This window comes from Homo sapiens, chromosome 19 (genome assembly GCF_000001405.40).
Source record: "Homo sapiens chromosome 19, GRCh38.p14 Primary Assembly".
NCBI classification, from domain to species: Eukaryota; Metazoa; Chordata; class Mammalia; order Primates; family Hominidae; genus Homo; species Homo sapiens.
In genome coordinates, this window is record NC_000019.10 from 48,360,854 (window position 1) to 48,378,462 (window position 17,609).

Below are 17,609 nucleotides of genomic sequence, written 5' to 3' on the forward strand. Positions count from 1 at the left end.
TCAGCTCACTGCATCTTCAACCTCCTGGGATGAAGCGATCCTCCCACCTCAGCCTCCTGAGTAGCTAAGACTACAGGTGCCCACCACCATGCCTGGCGAATTTTTTTCAATTTTTTGTAAAGGTGGAGTCTCACTATATTGCCCAGGCTGGTCTGAACTCCTGTGCTCCAGCAATCCTCCCACCTCAGCCTCCCAAAGTGCTGGGAGGCTGAGCCACCATACCCCCAAGGTTGATGGAATTATAACTCCCATTTGTCAGTGGGAGAAACTGAGGCTCTGGAAAAGTCATTTGGTAAGGGCTGCAGTGTCTGTGGGAAATGACTGCTATCTAGGCCTGTCTGACTCCAGGGTACACATTGAACCATTTCCTTTTTTTTTTTTTTTGAGAAGGAGTCTCACTCTGTTGCCAAGGCTGGAGTGCAGCGGCCATGATCTCAGCTCACTGCGACCTCTTCCTCCACGGTTCAAGCAATTCTGCCTCAGCCTTCTAAGTAACTGGGATTATAGGCGCCTGCCACCACGCCTAGCTAATTTTTGTACTTTTAATAGAGACGGGGTTTCACCATGTTGGCCAGGCTGGTCTCAAACTCATGACCTCAGGTGATCCACCTGCATCGACTTCCCAAAGTGCTGGGATTACTGGCGTGAGCCACCATGCCTGGCCTTGAACCACTTCTTCTTCTTTTTTTTTTTTTGAGATGGAGTCTTGCTCTGTTGCCCAGACTGGAGTGCAGTGGCACGATCTCGGCTCACTGCAAGCTCCGCTTCCCGGGTTCACACCATTCTCCTGCCTCACCTCCCAAGTAGCTGGGACTACAGGAGCCTGCCACCTCGCCCGGCTAATTTTTTGTATTTTTAGTAGAGACGGTTTCATCGTGTTAGCCAGGATGGTCTCAATCTCCTGACCTCGTGATCTGCCCGCCTCGGCCTCCCAAAGTGCTGGGATTACAGGCGTGAGCCACCGCGCCCGGCCTTGAACCACTTCTTTATGTTTCCTATGTCAATGTCCTGGGTAATTGTCTTCACTTCTCTGAGCCTCAGTTTCCTCACTGGCAACAGAGGATTACACGCTCTTTCTTGGAGGGCTACGGTGAGAATTTGATGAGATTACACATGTCCTATATACACATGTGTTTACATATATGTGCATATATTTGTATATTTATGTGTGTATATTTGTGTACTTTTGTGTGCATATATTTGTGTGTGCGTGTATTTGTGTGTGTGCATTTGTATGTGTATATTTGTGTATTTGTGTACACATATTTGTGTATTTGTGTGTGTACTTGTATGCATATACTTGTGTGTATTTGTGTGTGTGTATTTGTGTGTGTATCAAGTCCAGCACAGAATTGAGTACATACAGTAGGTGTTCAGTAAATAAATGTTAAATTAATGAATGATGGTGAGGTGTGGTGGCTCATACCTGTAATCTCAGCACTTTGGGAAGCCAAGATGGGCAGATCACTTGAGGCCAGGAGTTCGAGACCAGCCTGGCCAACATGGCAATACCCTGTCTCTACTAAAAATACAAAAATTAGCCAGGCAAGAGTCCCAGCCTCTCGGGGGCTGAGGAAGGAGGATCACTTGAGTCTAGGAGGCAGAGGTTGCAGTGAGCTGAGATTGTGCCACTGCACTCCAGTCTGGGCAACAGAGTGAGACCCTGTCTCACAAAAATAAATAAAGAAAAATAAATGAATAATAATCCTCAAAATCCTCAATAATGACAATGATGATGATGGTGGCAATAAGACCTCAGGTTCTAGAGTGAGACCAAGACTAGGATGAGGTGAATATGGCACCCAAGGGTGCAAAATTTAACGGGGCACTCACTCTTAGGGTCAAGCGAGTGCCCTACTTGCCTAACCCTAGTCCTGGGCCAGCTCTGGAGTCAGACCACTTTGGTTCAAATCTAAGCCACTATGTTGTGGCCTTGGGTAAGTCACTTTCCTTCCCTATGCTTCCATTATCTCATCTGTAAAATGGGGATGATGGTGGTATCTCTCTTACTGATGATTCAACAATACATGAAAAATGTCTGGCACAGTGCCATGGAGTCAGAGCTCAAATTGTGTGATAATAATTATGATTACAGCGTTGTGACTTTATAGGTACAATTATTATCAGGTAGTAGAAATAGTAATGATGAGGATGATTACTATACCCATCTTAAAGAGGGAAAAACCATGCCCCAGAGAGTGCCTGTTCAAGCCCTCAGAACAAGCCAGAGTTGGGAATGGATGCTGCGTCTGCATCTCGGAGACCTGGCTCCTGCATTCCAGCTCATCTCCCGCCCACTAGGGAAACACGAAGGGACCCGGGAACTACAACTCCCAGGAGGCGCCAGGGCAGCTCTCTGCAGCAACTAGGGCCCTGCCGCCGCGAAGCCTGCTGGGAGCCGTAGTCCCCAGGCTCTTGGGCCTGGGACAGGCGGTACCTGTATTAGGAGGCGGAGCAGCTGCTCCTTGGAGAAGGGAATGAAGCGCTCGCGGTACTGCTGGGCCCAGTCGCGGGGCTCCCTGGGGTTCCACATCTTGCGATACTCCCCCATTTTGGCTGCCAGCGATGAGAGGGCCCGGGGGGGCCCGAGGAGCGCGGGCAACAGTGGCCATACTCGGACCCTGGACCCCCAGACCCCCCGGGTCACATGCAGCATGGCTAGACCCTTTCCCCGGAGCCTAAACAGAGGAAAATGGGCAGGGGTCAAAGGCCATCTAGAGGAAAAGCGCCCTCTCCACCTCCACGTCCCACCCTCCAGAAGCCGTCTCTACCCCAGGCAGGGCGCAGAGCCCATCCGCTCGCCTCAAAGCCCCTGTTGCCTGTCCCCTTCCCACACTGCTCAGTTGGCCTGGGTCCCAGACAGGGGTCAGAGGTCTTAGGTTCTGGGGCGTTTTTCAGGCCCAGAGACCCTGTAGTGGTACAACGTTTCTTTGGGGTCTAGACAGCGAGGTAGATCTTAGGAGAGCAGGAAATGCTCGTAAAGGTTACCTAGGGGGTGCAGGGCCGCCCTCCCTGGCCATGCAATCCCCCGATTTCTCCCTCACCTTAGCCAAAGCTCGACTGTCATTGAGCCTCCTGCGCATGTGCAGGAGGGCGTCCTGGGCTCCCGAGGTTCGGCTTCACCCAGCAGTAAAACGCATGCGCAAAGCTTCGGTCAATGCGGGCTGTCCATTTCTCACCGCCGACTCCCTACATCAACTACGCATGCGTTGCCTGCCTTTCTCCACCGCCGGCCTCGTTTGGGCGCGACGCATGCGCCGCAGGAGTGTCTCCTTGTCAGCTTGCTACAAAGGGAAGGGGCGGTGTGGACGCGAGACTCCCTAGAGGGATGGGGCGGGGTAGGGCTCCCGCGCGCAGTCCGCCAACGGCGCGCAGTCCAACGTTCGCCGAGGCCACGCCCCGGCTCGTGTCAGCTCCTGAGTAGGCGGAAAGAGGGAGGGGGCGGGACTTGGGCGCAGCCAATCAGCTGTGGAGGAGCGAAAAGGCGGGAAAAAGCGGAACCAAAAGAAGGCTGAGGTGGCGCTAGGGACCAGGAGGGGTGGGGGTGGCGAAAGGAAGGGCGGGCCCTCAGGTGACGCAGATTGGCCCTCCAGAGAAGGGGCGGCCCCTTCTCAGGTGCCGTCACCCCCAAACCTCAGCACTGCCATTCCAGGTCCTTAAAGGGGAGACCGCGATTCTAAGAAGGTAGCCCAGTGCCGGGGCGTGGCCTCATTCTGAGGTTCCCCACAAATCCGAGGTCCCGACTCCCAGCTTGAGGAGGTGCACTTCCGTGAAAATGGAGCTGAATTCGAAAGGGAGGCCCTTATTCTGGGAAATGGCCCCAAGTGACAAGGACAGCCTGAAATATGCCCTGAGATACCTGGGTTCTCCACGAAGGGTGCTGTCACCCCCAAACCTGAAAGGGATTATTCGGTTTCAGACCTCCCAGGGGCTCTGATCTCAATGGCCGCACCCCCTAGTCCCCAGAAAGTCCCACCTGTGTCCTCTCACAGAAGGACCCAGTCCCTCTGCAGGCCCTTCAGCTCCTGGGTCACAAGACGTGGTCCCCAAATATCCCAGCCCTCCCCTGCACTCCACCTCTGGGATCCCTGACAGCCCTCTCGCCCAACAACCCCCTCAGCCCACATTCCTGACTTCTGGAACCTGAAGCAGCCCCTTCACTTATGTCCCCCACTCCTGGGACCCCCAGAATCACCCTCACCCCAGGCCCTCACCTCTCTGGAATCCTCCATAGACCCCCTTAACCCACACCTCAACCCAGGGGACCCTTAGCGACTCTCTCATCCTGCACCTCCACCTCTGTGACCCCTGGCAGCCCTCCCCACACGACACCTTGCCTGGGACCCCTAGTATCCCCATCCTATGCCCCCCTCTCCTGGGACCCCCAGAAAGCTCCCTCACCACACACAACCCCATTCCTGGGAACCCCCAGCACCCGCATCCTATGTCCCCCACTTCAGGGACCCCTAGCAGCCCTCTCCACACAACACCTTTCCTGGGACCCCCCAGAACCCCCATCCTATGCCTCCCACTTCTGGGACCCCTAGTAGCCCCCTCACCACACAACCCCATTCCTGGGACCCCCAGCACCCCCATCCTATGCCCCCCACTCCTGGGGCCCACAGAAGCCCCCTCAGCACACACAACCTCATTCCCTGGGACCCACCTGCACCCCCATCCTACGTCCCCGACTTCTGGGGCCCCTGACAGCCCATTCACCCCACACCCTGACTCCTAAGAGGCTCAGCAGTCCCCTCACCCCACACAACTCCATTCCGGGGACCCCCCCCATCCCCACCCCATGTCCCCCAATCCTGGGGCCCCCAACAGCCCTTCCACCCCGTGCCCCTGACTGGCATCCCCCATCTGTGTCATCCCACAGCAGCCAAGCCCAGGGCTGGCCTGAAGCCCCCGGACGGCAGTGCCCAGCAGGCAGCGCCCAGCACCCTGGCTCCCACCTCCCAGTGGCCCCAAAGGAAAACAGCTGCCATGCACATCCCCAAAAGCCTCCAGGAGCTGGCCAACAGCGAAGCCGTGCAGTTTCTGAGAAGGCCCAAGACCATCACGCGGGTCTTCGAAGGGGTGAGGCCCTCCCATGGCCCGACTGTGCCCCTGGGTGACAGGAGCCAGGAGCTCTCAACTCCCAGACACAGTGCGGGAGATGGGAGGACAAGGAAGGGGTCAGACGGGGAAACAAGACAACGGAGCAAATGCTGACACCACCTTTTCCTGAGCACCCCACTATAGGCCCTATGCTATTGAGGCACTGATGGACTCTCATAGTAAGGAACAGCCCTCACAGTAGGTGCTGCAAGTCCCATCTCTGAGATAACAAAACTAGGGCTTAGAAAAGTTAAGTAAATTTTTTTTCTTTGAAACAATCTTAATTAGCCAGGCATAGTGGCACACACCTGTAATCCTAGCTACTGAGGAGGCTGAGGCAGGAGAATCACTCGAACCCGGGTGGTGGAGTTTGCAGTGAGTGGAGATCATACCACTGCACTCCAGCCCAGGCAACAGAGCCAGACTCCATCTCAAAAAAAAAAAAAAGAAAAAAGAAAAGAAAGAAACAGTTTCGCTCTGTTGCCCAGGCTGGAGTGCAAAAAGCAGTGGCGTGATCTCCGCTCACTGGAACTCCACCTCCTGGGTTCAAGCGATTCTCCTGCCTCAGCTTCCCAAGTAGCTGGGATTACAGGTGTGCGCCACTGCGCCTGGCTAATTTTTGTATTTTTAGTAGAGATGGGGTTTCGCCATGTTGGCCAGGCTGGCCTCAAACTCCTGACGTCAAGTGTTCTGCCCACCTCAGCCTCCCAAAGTGCTGGGATTATAGGTGTCAGCCACCGCGCCCAGCCTAAGTAAATTTTTTAAATCTGGGATGTCCAGTGGGGTAGCCACAGCCACATGTGGCTACCTCACTTTGCACTAATTAAAATAAAAGTCCATTCTTCACTCACAGTGGCCACATTTTAGGTGCTCAACAGCCACATGTGGCTGGGGACTCTCATATTAGACAGTACAGGCTGGGTGTGGTGGTTCATGCCTGTAAAACCAGCACCTTGGTAGGCCAAGGCAGGCAGATCATTTGAGGTCAGGAGTTCGAGACCAGCCTGGCCAACATGGCGAAAACCCATCTCTACTAAAAATACAAAAATTATCCAGGCATGGTGGCGCAAGCCTGTAGTCCCAGTTACTTAGGGGGCTGAGGCTCAAGGATGGCTTGAGCCCATGTGGCGGAGGTTGCACTGCAGCCTCGGTGACAGAGTGAGACTCTGTCTCAAAAAAAAAAAAAAAAATTGTGGCTGGGCACGGTGGCTCACACCTGTAATCCCAGCACTTTGGGAGGCCGAGGCGGGCGGATCGTGAGGTGAGGAGATCGAGACCATCCTGGCTAACACGGTGAAACCCCATCTCTACTAAAAATACAAAAAAATTAGCTGGGTGTGGTGGCAGGCGCCTGTGGTCCCAGCTACTCTGGAGGCTGAGGCAGGAGAATGGCGTGAACCCGGGAGGTGGAGCTTGCAGTGAGCCGAGATCACACCACTGCACTGCAGCCTGGGCGACAGAGCGAGACTCCATTTAAAAAAAAAAAAAAATTAGTGCAGATATGGGACATTTTCATCATGCCAGAGAGTTCTATTAGACAGCATTGGCTAAGGTCACGCAGTAACAGGCAGGGGCAGGATTCAAACTCAGATCTGTGAGATGCCAGAGCCCATTTATTTTCCACCTCCCAGTTGAGGGAGGAGGAGAAGGAGAGGAACAGGGGCTGGGGCTTCTAGGAAGAGAATAAGGAGTGCAGCCCTGAAGTGCCAGATGTTGGGTGGTAACCGTGTGCCAGGCACCATGCCACCGTTCATTTCATCATCCCCACACTCCTGAAGAATCTGGACACCTGGAGTCAAATCCTCATTCAGCCCAGACTTTGCTGTGTGATCTTGAACCAATCACTGTTCATCTCTGGATCTCAGTACATGAAGGGTTAGGGCTGTGGCTCTGACCTTTAACCTGTGCTGCTTCCACCACTCCGCTTTAACAGAATTGGAAACTAAGGCCCAGGGAGATGTTGAGACTTGATCGAGGTCTTAGGAGTAGGTGGAGTTCCCCGGCTCAGACCCAGGGTCTCCACCCCCAGAGTGCTAATCCAGAGTATCTCCTCTCTGCCCCTTCTAGAGCCTGAGCTTGGAGAAGGAACAAACAGGCCTGGAATCCTGGCTCAGGCACGTGCTGTCCATGCAAAGTGGCATACTGCCCAGTTTACCTGGGCCAGGCCTGATGTCCTTACCAGCAGCAGCAACTTTCTTTCTCAAAAGTGCCCCTTTGGTTTGATGGCTTGCCTGGTCACCCTGTGTCCGTGTGACCCTGAGCAAGCTATGTGATTTCTCTGAACATCTCCTTACTCTCGTCTGTAAAAAGAGGATCCTAATAATCTACTCCTAGGAAGAATCATTGTGAAAATGTAACAAATTAATGCCTATAAACTGATTAGCATGGGCCAGGCAAGTAGTGATCTTTCCTTAGTGATTTTTTTTTCTTTTTCTTTCTTTTTTTTGAGACAGACCCTTGCTCTGTCACCCAGGCTGGAGTACAGTTGGTGCAGTCTCAGCTCACTGCAACTTTCGCCTCCTGGGTTCAAGCAATTCTTGTGCCTCCGGAGTAGCTGGGATTACCAGCGTGCACCACCATGCCTGGCTAATTTTTGTATTTTTAGTAGAGATGGGGTTTCACCATGTTGGCCAGACTGGTCTTAAACTCCTGACCTCAAATGATCCACCCGCCTCGGCCTTCCAAAGTGTTGGGATTACAGGCGTGAGCCACCGCACCCAGGCTTAAATAGTGATTATTATCAAAACAAATCATTACCGTGTGTGAGGAGAGGGCCTAGGATGATTGAGATTTGTGTCCGTTGTCCTCCCCCAGGGAAAGAGGGGAATCTTGAAAACCGCATCCCAGCACCAGATCTTTCGCTGGTGTTAGTTTCTCTACTCCTCACCACAACCCTGTGACACAGGCATTATGATCCCTGTTTAACCCAAGGGGAAACTGAGGCTCACAGAGGTTGAGTGGCATGCCCAAGGACATCACCCAGCTGGTGAGCAAGTCCAACTCGGATCCACCCACCTATCTGGAAAGCCTCGGAAGGCAGGGCGGGTGGCAAGGAGACGGAAGCCCAGCTGGTGTGGACTGGTGCGGGGAAGGAGGAGGAAGAGCCGCCAACCATGCCAGACGTTCTGGTCACGGACTTTGCCCGCCGCCTCCTTCCACCGTCCCTACCCCCCCGCCCTCTCCTCCTTCCCCCCTGGCCTGGCTCCTCAGTAGGGAGTCTCTGGGCAGCTGGTGCTCTTGTCCTCGCTGCCGCCTGCCAGCTGGTGCCTTAACTGATAAATCTTTGCTCCCTCCCTAGGGACAGGCCAGGGAGGGCATGGAAGGAGTTTGGACTGAAGCTTAAGAGGGATAGGGTCCCTCTAGCCCAGATGAGCCCCTGCTCCTCAAATCTCCAGTGTCCCGGGCTCATGTCACAGCCCAGGGTTTTGGGGGTCAGTGGACAGACAGCCCACCGGCCTAGATGTCAGGAGGGCTAGATTCCAATCCCCCTTTCACCACTTACTGACCTTGAGAGGACGCCTTCCCTCTCTGGGCAAATCACAAGAATGACCATTTTCCTGAGCACCTACTAGAGCCAAGCCCCTACCCCCACATTCCTCCTTTTCATAGCATAGAAACAGACCAGGAAACTGAGGCTCCAAGAGATGAGTGATTTGCCCCAGGCCATACAGCTGGCACAGTCAGAAGCATCTGGCTCTTTCCACTCCACCAAAATGGCTTCGATTTATCACCTGTGAAACAGAAATGAATTAATAATCTCCACCACGTGGGGCCGGTGTGAGGTTCCAGGGAGGTAACGCAGGTAAAATGAATATGGGCTCAAAAATGATCAATGTGCTTTCTTGTCCTCGACCTGACTCTGCCTCAGACCAGCAGGGCCAGACACACCCCCTCTACAGTCAGTTCTTCTGCTCCAAAATAGGGAGAATCATCTTACAGCCTCCCTCCAAGGGTTGCTGTGCAGATCAAGTGAGATGATGGATGTGAATACCCTTGGTTATTGCTGAAGGGCTAGGCAAAAACAGGGAGTCAGGGTGTTGCTGCTGTTGTTGTTCACAGAAGGCAATTAAGGCAAAGGAGAAGGGAGGATGGACGGAAGCTCAGGAGTTTAGGGGTCCGTTCTTTGCCTCCTCCATCTCCACTCTGAAGGGCAGGGCAAGAGTCAAGACAAGCCAAAGCCATTCACTCTTTCAACACACATTTGCTGAAGTCCAGTCTAGCGCTGGGTGCTGGGGATAGAGAGCAGGGGCCCGGCAAGGTGGCTCACGCCTGTAATCCCAACACTTTGGGAGGCCAAGGCAGGAGGATTGCTTGAGGCCAGGAGTTTGAGACCCACCTGTGCAACATAGCAATACCGTCTCTACAAAAAATTAAATATGAGTGAGGCATGGTATTTCGCACTTGTAGTCCCAGCTACTCAGGAGGCTGAGGTGGGAGGATTGCTTGAGCCCAGGAGGTCGAGGCTGCAGTGAGCCGTGATCACGCCACTGCACTCCGGCCTGCAAGACACAGTGAGACACTGTCTCAAAAAAAGAAAAAAGAGAGAGAGAGTCCTGTGTGGAGCCTATCCAGGAAGAGTTCCAATTCTAACGAAGGGGAGATTTTCTTTTTCTTCTCTTTTGAGACAGGGTCTCACTCTGTTGCCCAGGCTGGAGTGCAGTGGTGCGATCACAGCTCACTGCAGTCCAGACCTCGTGGGTTCAAATGATCCTTCCGCCTTAACCTCCCAAAGCACTGGGATTACAGGCATGAGCCACCACACCAGACCAAAGAGAAGATTTTCAACAGTCTGTTTCCCTTAGCCTACCCCCGCCATCCCCAACCCCTATCGCCAACACTGCCACTTCCAATCAATCACCAAGTCCTATTTTACACGCTAAATATTACTGAATTCCCCAGGGCTCTGGCCTCAGCCTTTCTCACCTGGGCCTCCCCGCCTCCTCTCAGGTATGTTGGCCTCTTGTCTTGCCCACCTCCGATCCATCAGCCACGTGACCCCAGAGGGCTTCTCTAACCCCAAGGCTGACCCCAGCTGTCCCCTGCACAGAATCCTCCCATGCATAATATTGAATGCTTTCCATGGCTCCCCAAGTCCGGCTCCTGGCCCTGGTGTTCCGGGCCTCTTAGAGCCTGGCTCCCACCCACTTTTCCAGCCTCATCTCACACCAGAACCCTCCAGTGAGTTTCTCTCTTATCTCTGAAACTGCCCGCTCTGCAGCATCTGGCTTTTCCACATGCCATCCACCCTGCCGGGAATGCCCTTCCTCCTCTTGTCTGTCTGAGAAACTCCTTGTTCTTTAAGGTCCAGTTCAGAACTCACCTGAAATCCAGCCCTCAATCTGGCTTCCACCTTGACTCTCTCCCCCACCCCAGGCCCCAGCCTCCTCCCCACCACCCCATCTACACACCAGCTCGTCTTTGTCTGGCACAGACCTGCCCTGCTGCATTGTGACCATCTGGGACAAATCACTGGGGCTTCAAATTTTCACCGAATTTCGTTGATAGGAGCCCCCGCCCTCAAGGCGCGTGGTCCAGTGTGAGGAAGAAGAGCAAGAGGTCAAGGGCAGACTCAGAAGCCAGGCTACTTCTGTTCAAATCCAGGCTCTGACACTGACCAGCTGATTTTTTTTTTTTTTTTTGAGACAGGGCCTCACTGTGTCACCCAGCCTGGAGTGCAGTGGCACAATCAGGGCTTACTGCAGCCTTGACTTCTGGGTCTCAAGTGATCCTCCTACCTCAGCCCCCCAAGTACTTGGGACTACGGGTGCATGCCACCACACTGAGCTAATTTTTTTTTTTTAAGAAGTTTTGGTAGATACTAGGTATCACTCTGTTGCCCAGGCTGGTCTCCTGAGCTCAAGCGATTCCTCCCACCTTGGCCTCCCAAGTGTTGGGATTACAGATGTGAGCCACTGTGCTTGGCCTTTTGTTTGTTTGTTTTGAGACAGAGTCTTGCTCTCTCGCCTCGGCTGGAGTGCAGTGGCATGATCATGGCTCACTGCAGCCTCAACCTCCTGGGCTCAAGTGATCCTCCTGCCTCAGCCTCCCAAGTAGCTGGGACTACAAGTATGCACCACCACACCCAGCTATTTTTGTTTTTAATATTTTTGTAGAGACTGGGTCTCGCTCTGTTGCCCAGGCTGGTCTCAAACTCCTGGCCTGACACGATCCTCCCATCTCAACCTCCCAAAGTGCTGGAATTACAGTCATGAGCCACCTCGCCCAGCCACTGGCCAGCTAATTGGATTCGGCCAACTCCTTATCCTCTCTGTGCCCCAGTTCCATTATCTGAAACACAGGGCTGTGAGTAGTGCCCGTGTCCTAGGGTGGCTGTAAGGATGACCTGGGTGAGTGTTTATAGAGTGTTTCCGTGGTTTTTTTAGCAAATACACATAGAAGACAGGCATGGCCGGGCGTGGTGGCTCACGCCTGTAATCCCAGCACTTTGGGAGGCCAAGGCAGGCGGATCACGAGGTCAGGTGATCGAGACCATCGTGGCTGGCATGGTGAAACCCCGTCTCTACTAAAAATACAAAAAAAAAAAATAGCCAGGCATGGTGGCGGGTGCCTGTAGTCCCAGCTACTCGGGAGGCTGAGGCAGGAGAATGGCGTGAACCCCGGGGGCCGGAGCCTGCAGTGAGCCGAGATGGCGCCACTGCACTCCAGCCTGGGTGACAGCCAGACTCTGTCTCCAAAAAAAAAAACAGACGAGAGGGACAGGGTTACCAGATCAGTGTCGTAGTATTTGTCTAAAACAAAATCCCGAAGCCAAAAAACAAGGCAAAATGTTAATATGTGTTAGTTTGGCCAGGTGACACTGGGTGTTTCTTATGTTTCTCTTCGTATTTTTCTGTATGCTTGGACTATCTTGCAAATGAACCTAAGAAATTAATAGGAATTAGTGAGGCCAGGAGGGAAGAGACAGAAGTCGCAGAGGGAAGGGCTCTAAGTGCCTCCTCTCGTTTAGTCCTCAGAACCACCCCAGAGGGAAGAGCTGAGAGGCAGAGAGAATAATCACGACTGCAAACACTGATTCAGCTCTTCCCATGTCCCGGGCACTGTGCCAGGCATTTTATATGGGTACCTGGGTTTGGTGGCAGAAGGAGAGTGTGGGGGAGGCAGGGGTGAGTGAGGAGAGATGAAATTGGAAGAGTGAGGGAAGCGGAGACTCTGCAGGGCCTCCAAGGCCAGGCTTCAGGGCTGGGACTCAGTCCTGAGGCACTGGGGAGCCATGAGGGGCTGTGGCAGGGAGGGGCAGGGTGTGGAAAGACTCCCCTGGGGCCATGGTGGAGATGTGCTGAGGTGGGGAAGACTGGAGGTGGGGAGGCTGGGAGGAGGCTGGGGCAAGGGCCAAGGAGAGCAGACGAGGCCTGAGCCAGGATGGAGCAGAGGGGACGAGGGGCAGGAAGCTGAGGGCTCTGACACTGTGACAATGTCAAAGAGGGAGAGGTCCAGACGGACCAGTGACTGGGTATACGGAAAGACCGACAGCACCAGGGAGGAAGGAGGAGCAGCTTCAGGGAGAGACTGAGCTCTTCTCTGGCCCCTGGAAATCCACAGGTCTTCTCCCTGATCGTCTTCTCCTCCCTGCTGACCGACGGCTACCAGAACAAGATGGAGTCTCCGCAGCTCCACTGCATTCTCAACAGCAACAGCGTGGCCTGCAGCTTTGCCGTGGGAGCCGGCTTCCTGGCCTTCCTCAGCTGCCTGGCCTTCCTCGTCCTGGACACACAGGAGACCCGCATTGCCGGCACCCGCTTCAAGACAGCCTTCCAGCTCCTGGACTTCATCCTGGCTGGTGAGCCCCCAGGACCCCCAACCCAGAGCTGCCCCTCCTCCCGCTCACAGCCCTCCTGGCTCCCCAGGGCCTCCCGGGCACAACCCTTCACCACCTAGCCGGCCTCCACCCTGACTGTCCTCCCAGTAGGAGGCATCTGACCACAAGTGGCCCAGAGCTTCTCACTGTGCCTGGCACCTGCTGTCTCCTCCTGGGGAATTATTTTTATCCTTCAGACCCTGGGTAAGGGTCACCTCTTCTGACCCCCAGACAAATTATAGCAGCCTCCCTTCTGCCCCGTGCCTTCTTTGCATTTGCTTCCCTCATTTACAGAAAATCTCTCTTTTTTTTTTTTTTTTTTTTGAGATGGAGTCTCACTCTGTCGCCAGGCTGGAGTGCACTGGCACAGTCTCGGCTCACTGCAACCTCCGCCTCCCGGGTTCAAGCGATTCTCCTGTCTCAGCCTCCTGAGTAGCTGGGATTACAGGCGCACACCACCACACCCGGCTAATTATTTTTTGTATTTTAGTAGAGACGGGGTTTCAGTGTGTTAGCCAGGATGGTCTCGATCTCCTGACCTGGTGATCCACCCACCTCTGCCTCCCAAAGTGCTGGGATTACAGGCGTGAGCCACCACGCCCAGCCAAAGTCTTGCCTCCTAACCACTGCCAAACACTCCCGATGGAGCCTGGCATAAGCAAGCACAAAATGTGTGTCCTTCTTTGGGGCCTGACCTCCTTCCTCTCAGTCTGTTTGATCTCAACTCCTCCCCACCCTGCCGCTCCTCCTCCCTACTGGGCCAGTCCCAGTGACTTAGGGCCAAGGGAGCCTTAGAAGGTCATCGAATCTAGTGCTGTGCAGGAGAACTCCCTGTGAGGGTGGAAATGTTCTGTCCCTGCGCCTTCTCATGCAGGAGCCACTGACCACCCGTGGCTATTAAGCACTTGAAATGCAGCTGCTGGCCGGGGACGGTGGCTCACACCTGGAATCCCAGCACTTTGGGAGGCCAAGGCAGGTGGATAACTTGAGGCCAGAAGTTTGAGACCAGCCTGGCCAACATGGCGAAACCCTGTCTCCACTAAAAATACAAAAATTAGCTGGGCAGGGAGGCGAGTGCCTGTAGTCCCAGCTACTCGGGAGGCTGAGGCAGGAGAATCGCTTGAACCCGGGAGGCAGAGCTTGCACTGAGCTGAGATTGCGCCATGGCACCCCAGCCTCGGCAACAGAGCGAGACTCTGTCTCAATAACAACAACAACAAAAAAAGAAATGTGGCCAGTGCAGCTGAGAAACATTTTTTTTTTTTTTTTTTGAGACAGAGTTGCGCTCTGTCGCCCAGGCTGGAGTGCAGAGGCGCAATATCAGCTCACTGTAACCTCCGCCTCCCAGGTTCAAGCGATTCTCCTGCCTCAGCCTCCTGAGTAGCTGGGACTACAGGTGCCCGCCACCGTGCTGGGCTAATTTTTGTTTTTTCAGTAGAGACGGGGTTTCGCCATGTTGCCCGGGCTGGTCTCGAACACCTGGCCTCGAGTGATCCACTTGCCTCAGCTTCCCAAAGTGCTGGGATTACAGGCGTTAGCCACCTCGCCTAGCCTAAAATCCTGTGTTAATGAATAGAAATTTAAACCGCTGCATGAGGCCGGCGGCTCCTGTATTAGACAGCGCAACTCTACTCCAGCAGCTCACTTTAGGGAAGGCTAGGAGGGACTGGGGAATGACTTGTGGGAGATGTGTCAACATAGAAGCTAATAAAAAAAGTATTTTTCAATACCTCGTGGAAGTTCGTGCAGCAAGACCACCAGCCCCATCCTTCCCATGCCTCAGCAGCCCTGCCTGAGTGAGCTTTCCCCCTGCCCCTTTTCTCTCCCTGTGACGCCACAGTTCTCTGGGCAGTTGTCTGGTTCATGGGTTTCTGCTTCCTGGCCAACCAATGGCAGCATTCGCCGCCCAAAGAGTTCCTCCTGGGGAGCAGCAGTGCCCAGGCAGCCATCGCCTTCACCTTCTTCTCCATCCTTGTCTGGGTGAGGACAAGCCCCTCCACCACCCCTCCCTAGGAGGGCACCCTCTGCAGGGTGGGGTTGAAAGGGCTAGAACATTCCTGCTCTCACTTAGCTCCCCTGGGGGTCAGGGGTCGGGGGTTCCCCCAGGACTCCACTGGTCCCTTCCAGGTGCCGCTTCCTCTGAGCAGCCACAGCCCAGCATCAGGGCCTGTGCTTTGGCCTAGGGCTCCTGGGCAGTGAGCAGTCCAAACACCGGTATCTTTTGTCTCCTTCCCAGGCCAGTCCCCAGCCCAGTCCCTCTCCTGACCTGCCCAGCCCAAGTCAGCCTTCAGCACGCGCTTTTCTGCCCACAGATATTCCAGGCCTACCTGGCATTCCAGGACCTCCGAAATGATGCTCCAGTCCCTTACAAGCGCTTCCTGGATGAGGGTGGCATGGTGCTGACCACCCTCCCCTTGCCCTCTGCCAACAGCCCTGTGAACATGCCCACCACTGGCCCCAACAGCCTGAGTTATGCTAGCTCTGCCCTGTCCCCCTGTCTGACCGCTCCAAAGTCCCCCCGGCTTGCTATGATGCCTGACAACTAAATATCCTTATCCAAATCAATAAAGAGAGAATCCTCCCTCCAGAAGGGTTTCTAAAAACAGCCCTCAGTCCTTCTCATGTCTGTTCCACTCTGGTTGCTTGAGTGGCGAGGGTGGGTAAGAATCCCACAAGGTCACCGCTGGGGTCTCTGCACTGGGTCACATTTCCATACCATCTCCTGGAACCATCACTGGGGCACCACCTTGATAGTGACGGATGGGAGGTGGTGAGAGGCGGGAAGCACTTTTTTTTTTTTTTTTTTTTTTTTTTGAGACAGAGTCTCGCTGTGTCGCCCAGGCTGGAGTGCAGTGGTGCAATCTTGGCTCACTGCAACCTCTGCCTTCCAGGTTCAAGCAATTCTTCTGCCTCAGCCTCCCTAGTAGCTGGCATTACAGGTGCGCACCTGTAATGCCCACCACCACGCCTGGCTAATTTTTGTATTTTCAGTACAGACGGGGTTTCACCATGTTGGTCAGGCTGGTGTCGAACTCCTGACCTTGTGATCCTCCCACCTCGGCCTCCCAAAGTGCTGAGATTACAGGCCTGAGCCACCGTGCCCGGCCAGGAAGCACTTTCTTCAGGCCTGTTACACACTAAGTCCTGTCAAGTCACTACTCCTTGAGTCCCCACACTGGCCAGGGGAGGGAGGCACAAGGAGCCTCCTCTTACAGTTGAGGAAACCAAAGTTCAGAGAGAAAATGCTTCCACCCGTGGAGAGAGCACCAAGAGGAAGGGCCAACAAGGGGACCCAGCCCTGTCACTCAAGCCCAAGCCCTTTCACTCCTCATGGTGACCAAAGACTAAAAACCATGGCGTGTGAGGAGTCAGTGAAGGAACGGGGTGCTGAGTCCGCGAATGAGATTCAAGGGAGACCCTTGTCTTCAAATATTTCAAAGAATATCTTTGGGGAGGAGGAGTTTTCATTCCAGGAGAACCCCAGTGGTAAGCGGGGGACTCAGGCACGGGCCACAAACGTTCCTACCTGTAGGAGCCAGGCAGGAAACCCCAGTGGGTGAAGCGCCTATTAAGGGAATAGTGGGAACAGGGCCACATCCAGGAGGGGCAGCCTTCACTCAGCGCACATTCAGTAACGGGGCCTGGAGTTTCTTTTTTTTTTCCGAGATGGCATCTCGTTTTGCAGCCCAGACTGGAGTGCAGTGGTACAATCATAGCTCTCTACAGCCTTGACCTCCTGGCATCAAGCAATCCTCCTGCCTCAAGCCCCAAAGTAGCTGGGACTACAGGTGTGTGCCACCACTCCCAGCTAATTTTTCAATTTTTTTGAAGAGATGGGATCTCACTATGTTGCCCAGGCTGGTCTTGAACTCCTGGGCTCAAGCAGTCCTCCTGCCTTGGCCTCCCAAAGTGCTGGGATTATAGGCATGAGCCACCACGCCTGGCCAGCCTGGGGTTTCTAGAACAGTGCTGTCCACTTGAAATCTGATGTGACACCCAAGGGGAGTTTAAAATAGTCTAGTGGCCACATTAAGAAAAGTAAAACAAGGTGGATGCGGTGGCTCATGCCTATAATCCCAGCACTTTGAGAGGCTGAGGTGGGCAGATCACTTGAGGAGGCCAGAAGTTCAAGACCAGCCTGACCAACATGGTGAAACCCCGTCTCTACTAAAAATACGAAAATTAGCCGGGTATGCCTGTAATCCCAGCCACTTGGGAGTCAGAGGCACGAGAATCACTTGAAACCAGGAAGTGGAGGTTGCGGTGAGCCAAGATTATGCCACTGCACTCCAGAATGAGACTCTGTCTCAAAAAAAAAAAAAAAAGTAAAATGAAACAAGTGAAATTAATTTTAATATTTTATTTATGTCAATATATCCAAAATATCATTTCAACATGTAATCAATATAAAAATTATTAGTGAGGCATTTTCCACTCTTTGGTACTAAGTTTTTGAAACCCATCGTGTATTTACACCAATAGCACGCCTCAGTTTGGACTCGCCAGGTTTCAGGGGCTTGACAGTCACACATAACCACTGGCTACCCTACCAGACAGTGCAGCTACAGAAACTCTGGTTTTTCTACGACAGTTTGGACATCCATTCTGTGGCAGGTTTTAAAATGTGAAATCAGGCCAGGTGCGGTGACTCACACCTAAAATCCCAGCACTTTGGGAGGCCCAACTGGGC

General features: G+C 53.8%; 2 protein-coding genes across 9 annotated transcripts in view, besides 5 other annotated features; one reads left to right on the forward strand and one right to left on the reverse strand.

Moving 5' to 3' along the window:
- TMEM143 (transmembrane protein 143) overlaps positions 1 to 3,087 on the reverse strand; it is a 31,585-nt gene extending 28,498 nt beyond the window's left edge. For 4 of the 5 annotated variants that reach the window (NM_001303540.2, NM_001303538.2, NM_001303539.2 and 1 more), the window contains exons 1-2: positions 3,045 to 3,087; positions 2,438 to 2,678 (exon numbers count right to left, since the gene is read on the reverse strand). In NM_001303540.2, coding sequence (NP_001290469.1) covers positions 2,438 to 2,678; positions 3,045 to 3,067 — 264 coding nt within the window. In that variant the 5' untranslated portion in view covers positions 3,068 to 3,087. The remainder of the gene's footprint in view (positions 1 to 2,437; positions 2,679 to 3,044) is intronic. The other variant, NR_130317.2, reaches the window with a different exon arrangement.
- Positions 2,639 to 2,688: an enhancer, noted in NCBI's record as "active region_14888". NCBI's record gives its function as "activates an Ori minimal core promoter by ATAC-STARR-seq in GM12878 lymphoblastoid cells {active_cell/tissue: GM12878}" and the evidence as "EXISTENCE:reporter gene assay evidence [ECO:0000049][PMID:35858748]".
- Positions 3,169 to 3,288: an enhancer, noted in NCBI's record as "active region_14889". NCBI's record gives its function as "activates an Ori minimal core promoter by ATAC-STARR-seq in GM12878 lymphoblastoid cells {active_cell/tissue: GM12878}" and the evidence as "EXISTENCE:reporter gene assay evidence [ECO:0000049][PMID:35858748]".
- On the forward strand, positions 3,415 to 15,524 carry SYNGR4 (synaptogyrin 4). Of its 4 annotated transcripts, none has more exons than XM_005258693.4 (5): positions 3,415 to 3,516; positions 4,883 to 5,082; positions 12,664 to 12,901; positions 14,760 to 14,899; positions 15,232 to 15,524. In XM_005258693.4, the coding sequence occupies exons 2-5, from the start codon at positions 4,990 to 4,992 to the stop codon at positions 15,463 to 15,465; spliced, it is 705 nt and encodes a 234-aa protein (XP_005258750.1). In that variant the 5' UTR covers positions 3,415 to 3,516; positions 4,883 to 4,989; the 3' UTR covers positions 15,466 to 15,524. The 4 variants fall into 4 exon arrangements, with proteins under 4 accessions (XP_005258750.1, NP_036583.2, XP_005258751.1 ...); NM_012451.4 differs by having other exon boundaries at positions 3,514 to 3,684; XM_005258694.2 differs by lacking the exon at positions 3,415 to 3,516 and adding an exon at positions 3,670 to 3,759.
- Positions 3,659 to 3,808: an enhancer, noted in NCBI's record as "active region_14890". NCBI's record gives its function as "activates an Ori minimal core promoter by ATAC-STARR-seq in GM12878 lymphoblastoid cells {active_cell/tissue: GM12878}" and the evidence as "EXISTENCE:reporter gene assay evidence [ECO:0000049][PMID:35858748]".
- Positions 12,272 to 12,772: an enhancer, noted in NCBI's record as "H3K4me1 hESC enhancer chr19:48876382-48876882 (GRCh37/hg19 assembly coordinates)". NCBI's record gives its function as "activates a minimal SCP1, AML or CMV promoter by ChIP-STARR-seq in primed H9 embryonic stem cells {active_cell/tissue: H9 hESC(primed)}" and the evidence as "EXISTENCE:reporter gene assay evidence [ECO:0000049][PMID:30033119]".
- Positions 12,773 to 13,273: an enhancer, noted in NCBI's record as "H3K4me1 hESC enhancer chr19:48876883-48877383 (GRCh37/hg19 assembly coordinates)". NCBI's record gives its function as "activates a minimal SCP1, AML or CMV promoter by ChIP-STARR-seq in naive H9 embryonic stem cells {active_cell/tissue: H9 hESC(naive)}" and the evidence as "EXISTENCE:reporter gene assay evidence [ECO:0000049][PMID:30033119]".
- Positions 15,525 to 17,609: the final 2,085 nt, after the last annotated feature.